The following is a 5,259-nucleotide window of genomic DNA, read 5'->3' on the forward strand; positions in this document are numbered from 1 at the left end:
ATCCCTGAGTCTGTGAGTTTTTAGAGAGCTTTTATTGATTTTCTTTACAGTACATCTGTTTTTCGGGATTAATTAGTACTTCTCCTAGAAGACAGATCATATATCCAAAATAATCTATTTTCTTTTCCTTCAAGAAATTAATATCTAACAAAAAAATGACTGAAGCCTGCTGAGATTACTACACCAATGTGCATTCATCACTTTAATATACCACAGATGTATTTTCCATGTCTAGTGAAGCAAAATGTTGCCTAGATTAAAAGATATGGAAACTGGGGATTCCCAGGCAAGATGGCCAGATAGGACAGCTCCAGTCTGCAGCTCCCAGCGAGACCAACGCAGAAGGTGGGTGATTTCTGCATTTCCAACTGAGGTACTTGGTTCGTCTCATTGGGGCTGGTTAGACAGTGGGTGCAGCCCATGGAGGGTGAGCAGAAGCAGGGTGGGGCATTGCCTCACCCAGGAAGCAAAAGGGGCTGGGTAACTCCCTCCCCTAGCCAAGGGAAGCCGTGAGGGACTGTGCTGTGAGAGATGGTGCTGTCAGGCCGAGATACGATGCTTTTCCCACAGTCTTCACAACCCACACACCAGGAGATTCCCTCGGGTACCTACACCACAATGGACCTGAGTTTCAAGCACAAAACTGGGCCGCCATTTGGGCAGACGCCGAGCTAGCTGCAGGAGTCTTTTTTTGTACCCCAGTGGCGCCTGGAACATCAGCGAGACAGAACCATTCACTCCCCTGGAAAGGGGGCTGAAGCCAGGCAGCCAAGTGGTCTTGCTCCAGTGGATCCCACCCCAACAGAACCCAGCAAGCTAAGATCCACTGGCTGGAAATTCTAGCTGCCAGCACAGCAGTCTGGTCAACCTGGGATGCTTGAGCTTGGTTGGGGGAGGGGTGTCTGCCATTACTGAGGCTTGAGTAGGCGGTTTTCTACTCGCAGTGTAAACAAAGACACCAGAAGTTCAGACTGGGCAGAGAACACTGCCAAGCTGCAAAGTCGCTGTAGCCAGACTGCCTCTCTAGATTCCTCCTCTCTGGGCAGGGCATTTCTGAAAGAAAGGCAGCAGCCCCAGTCAGGGACTTATAGATAAAACTCCCACCTCCCTGGGACAGAGCACCTGGGGGAAGAGGCAGTTGTGGGTGCAGCTTCAGCAGACTTAAGCGTTCCTGCGTCCCGGCTCTGAAGAGAGCAGCAGCTCTCCCAGCACAGCATTCAAACTCTGCTAAGGGTCAGACTGCCTCCTCAAGTGGGTCCCTGACCCCCATGCCTCCTGACTGGGATACACCTCCCAGCAGGGGTTGACAGACACCTCATACAGGAGAGCTCCAACTGCCATCTGGCAGGTTCCCCTCTGGGATGAAGCTTCCAGAGGAAGGAGCAGGCAGCAATTTTTGCTGTTCTGCAGCCTCCCCTTGTGATACCCAGGCAAACAGGGTGTGGAGTGGACCCCCAGCAAACTCCAGCAGACCTGCAGAAGAGAGTCCTGACTGTTAGAAGGAAAACTAACAAACAGAAAGCAATAACATCAACAAAAAGGATTCGAAGGTCACCAACAGCAAAGACCAAAGGTAGATAAATCCACAAAGATGAGGAAAACCCAGCACAGAATGGCTGAAAATTCCAAAAACTAGAATGCTGCTTCTCTTCCAAAGGATCACAACTCCTCACCAGCAAAGAAACAAAACTAGACAGAGAATGAGTTTGACAAATTGATGGAAGTAGGCTTCCGAAGGTGGGTAATAAACTCCTCTGAGCTAAAGGAGCATGTTCTAACCCAATGCAAGGAAGCTAAGAACCTTAATAAAAGGTTAGAAGAATTGCTAACTAGAATATCCAGTTTAGAGAAGAACATAAATGAACTGATGGAGCTGAAAACACAGCACAAAAACTTCGTGAAGCATATACAAGTATCAATACTAGAATTGATCAAGTGGGAGAAATCATATCAGAGATTGAAGATCAACTTAATGAAATAAAGCATGAAGACAAGATTAGAGAAAAAAGAATGAAAAGGAATGAACAAAGCCTCCAAGAACTATGGGACTATGTGAAAAGACCAAACCTACGTTTGATTGGTGTACCTGAAAGTGACGGGGAGAATGGAGCCAAGTTGGAAAACACACTTCAGGATATTATCCAGGAGAACCTCCCCAGTCTAGCAAGACAGGCCAACATTCAAATTCAGGAAATACAGAGAACACCACAAAGATACTCCTGGAGAAGAACAACCCCAAGACACATAATCATCAGATTCACCAAGTTTGAAATGAAGGAAAAAATGTTAAGGGCAGCCAGAAACAGAGGTTGGGTTACCCACAAAAGGAAGCCCATCAGATTAACAGTGGATCTCTCTGCAGAAACCCTACAAGCCAGAAGAGAGTGAGGGCCAAGATTCAACATTATTAAATAAAAGAATTTTTAACCCAGAATTTCATATCCAGCCAAACTAACCTTCATAAGTGAAGGAGACATAGAATCTCTTACAGACCAGAAAATGCTGAGGGGTTTTGTCACCAGCAGGCCTGTCTTACAAGAGCTCCTCAAGGAAGCACTAAATATGGAAAGGAAAAACCAGTACCAGCCACTGCAAAAACAAACCAAAATGTAAAGGCCATCAACACTATGAAAAATCTGCATCAACTAATGGGGAAAATAACCAGCTAGCATCATAATGACAGGATCAAATTCACACATAACAATATTAACCTTAAATATAAATGGGCTAAATGCCCCAATTAAAAGTCACAGAATAGCAAATTGGATAAAGAGTCAAGAGCCGTTGGTGTGCTGTATTCAGGAGACCCATCTCACATGCAAAGACATGCATAGGCTCAAAATAAAAAGATGAAGGAATATTTATCAACTAAATGGAAAGCAAAAAAAAAAAAAAAGCAGAAGTTGCAATCTTAGTCTCTGATAAAACAGACTTTAAACCAACAAAGATCAAAAAAGACAAAGAAGGATATTATAGAATCGTAAAGGGATCAATGCAACAAGAGGAGCTAACTATCCTAAATTTATATGCACCCAATACAGGACTACCCAGATTCATAAAGCAAATTCTTAGAGACCTACGAAGAGACTTTGAGTCTCACACGACAATAGTGGGAGACTTTAACACTCCACTGTCAATATTAGACAGATCAATGAGACAGAAAATTAACAAGGATATTCAGGACTTGAACTCAGCTCTGGACCAAGTGAACCTAATAGACAGGTGCAGAACTCTGCACCCCAAATCAAAAGAATATATATTCTTCTCAGCACCACATAGTACTTATTGTAAAATTGACCACATAATTGGAAGTAAAACACTCCTCAGCAAATGCAAAAGAACAGAAATCATAACAAACAGTCTCTCAGACCACAGTGCAATCAAATTAGAACTCAGGATTAAGATACTCACTCAAAACTGCACAACTAAATGGAAAGTGAACAACCTGCTCCTGAATGACTACTGGGTAGATAACGAAATTAAGTCAGGAACGAATAAGTTATTTGAAACCAGTGAGAACAAAGACAAAACATACCAGAATCTCTGGGACACAGCTAAAGCAGTGTTTAGTGGGAAATTTATAGCACTAAATGCCCACAGGAGAAAGCAGGAAAGATCTAAAATCGACACCCTAACATCACAATTAAAAGAACTAGAAAAGTAAAAGCAAATACATTCAAAAGCTAGCAGAAGACAAGGAATAACTAAGATCAGAGAAGAACTGAATGAGGTAGAGACACAAAAAACCCTTCAAAAAAATCAGTGAACCCAGCAGCTTATTGTTTGAAAAGATTGACAAAATAGATAGATGGCTAGCGAGACTAATAAAGAAGAAAAGAGAAAAGAATCAAAAAGACACAATAAAAAATGATAAAGGGAATATCACCACCGATCCCACAGAAATACAAACTACCATCAGAGAATACTATAAACACCTCTATGCAAATAAACTAGAAAACCTAGAAGAAATGGATAAATTCCTGGACACATACACCCTCCCAAGACTAAACCAGGAAGAAGTCGAATCCCTGAATAGACCAATAACAAGTTTTGAAATTGAGGCAGTAATTAATAGTCTACGACCCAAAAAAAGCCCTGGACCAGATGGATTCACAGCCGAATTTTACCAGAGGTACAAAAAGGAGCTGGTACCATTCCTTCTGAAACTATTCCAAACAATAGAAAAAGAAAGACTCCTCCCTAACTCATTTTATGAGGCCAGCATCATCCTGATACGAAAACCTGGCAGAGACACAACAAAAAAAGAAAATTTCAGGCCTATATCCCCGATAAACATCAATGCAAAAATACTCAATAAGATACTGGCAAACCGAATCCAGCAGCACATCAAAAAGCTTATGCACCACAATCAAACTGGCTTCATTCCCGGGATGCAAGGCTGGTTAAACATACGCAAATCAATAAACGTATTCCATCACATAAACAGAAGCAATGACAAAAACCACATGATTATCTCAATAGAGGCAGAAAAGGCCTTTGATAACATTTAACACCCCTTCATGCTAAAAACACTCAATAAACTAGGTATTGATGGAACGTATCTCAAAATAATAAGAGCTATTTATGACAAACCCACAGCCAATATCATACTGAATGGGCAAAAGCTGGAAGCATTCCCTTTGAAAACCGGCACAAGACAAGGATGTGCCTTGTCACCACTCCTATTCAACACAGTATTGGAAGTTCTGGCCAGGGCAGTCAGGCAAGAGAAAGAAAGAAAGGGTATTCGAATAGGAAGTGAGGAAGTCAAATTATGTCTGTTTGCAGATGACATGATTGTATATTTAGAAAACCCCATCATCTCAGCCCAAAAACTCCTTAAGCTGATAAACCACTTCAGCAAAGTCTCAGGATACAAAATCAATGTTCAAAAATCACAAGCATTCCTATACACTAATAATAGTCAGAGATCAGAATCATGAGCAAATTCCCATTCACAATTGCTATAAAGAGAATAAAATACCTAGGAATACAACTTACAAGGGATATGAAGGACCTCTTCAAGGAGAACTACACACCACTGCTCAAGGAAATAAGAGAGGACACAAACAAATGGGAAAACATTCCATGCTCGTGGATAGGAAGAATCAATATCATGAAAGTGTCCATACTGCCCAAAGTAATTTATAGACTCAATGCTATTCCCATCAAGCTACCATGGATTTTCTTCACAGAATTAGAAAAAACTACTTTAAATTTCATATGGAACCAAAAAAGAGCCTGTATAGCCAAGACAAT

At 41.6% G+C, this 5,259-nt stretch overlaps 2 annotated features.

The window, feature by feature from the left end:
* Positions 202–940: an enhancer, noted in NCBI's record as "H3K27ac-H3K4me1 hESC enhancer chr8:2282596-2283334 (GRCh37/hg19 assembly coordinates)". NCBI's record gives its function as "activates a minimal SCP1, AML or CMV promoter by ChIP-STARR-seq in naive H9 embryonic stem cells {active_cell/tissue: H9 hESC(naive)}" and the evidence as "EXISTENCE:reporter gene assay evidence [ECO:0000049][PMID:30033119]".
* Positions 941–1,679: an enhancer, noted in NCBI's record as "H3K27ac-H3K4me1 hESC enhancer chr8:2283335-2284073 (GRCh37/hg19 assembly coordinates)". NCBI's record gives its function as "activates a minimal SCP1, AML or CMV promoter by ChIP-STARR-seq in naive H9 embryonic stem cells {active_cell/tissue: H9 hESC(naive)}" and the evidence as "EXISTENCE:reporter gene assay evidence [ECO:0000049][PMID:30033119]".

This window comes from Homo sapiens, chromosome 8, assembly GCF_000001405.40.
Source record: "Homo sapiens chromosome 8, GRCh38.p14 Primary Assembly".
Lineage (NCBI taxonomy): Eukaryota > Metazoa > Chordata > Mammalia > Primates > Hominidae > Homo > Homo sapiens.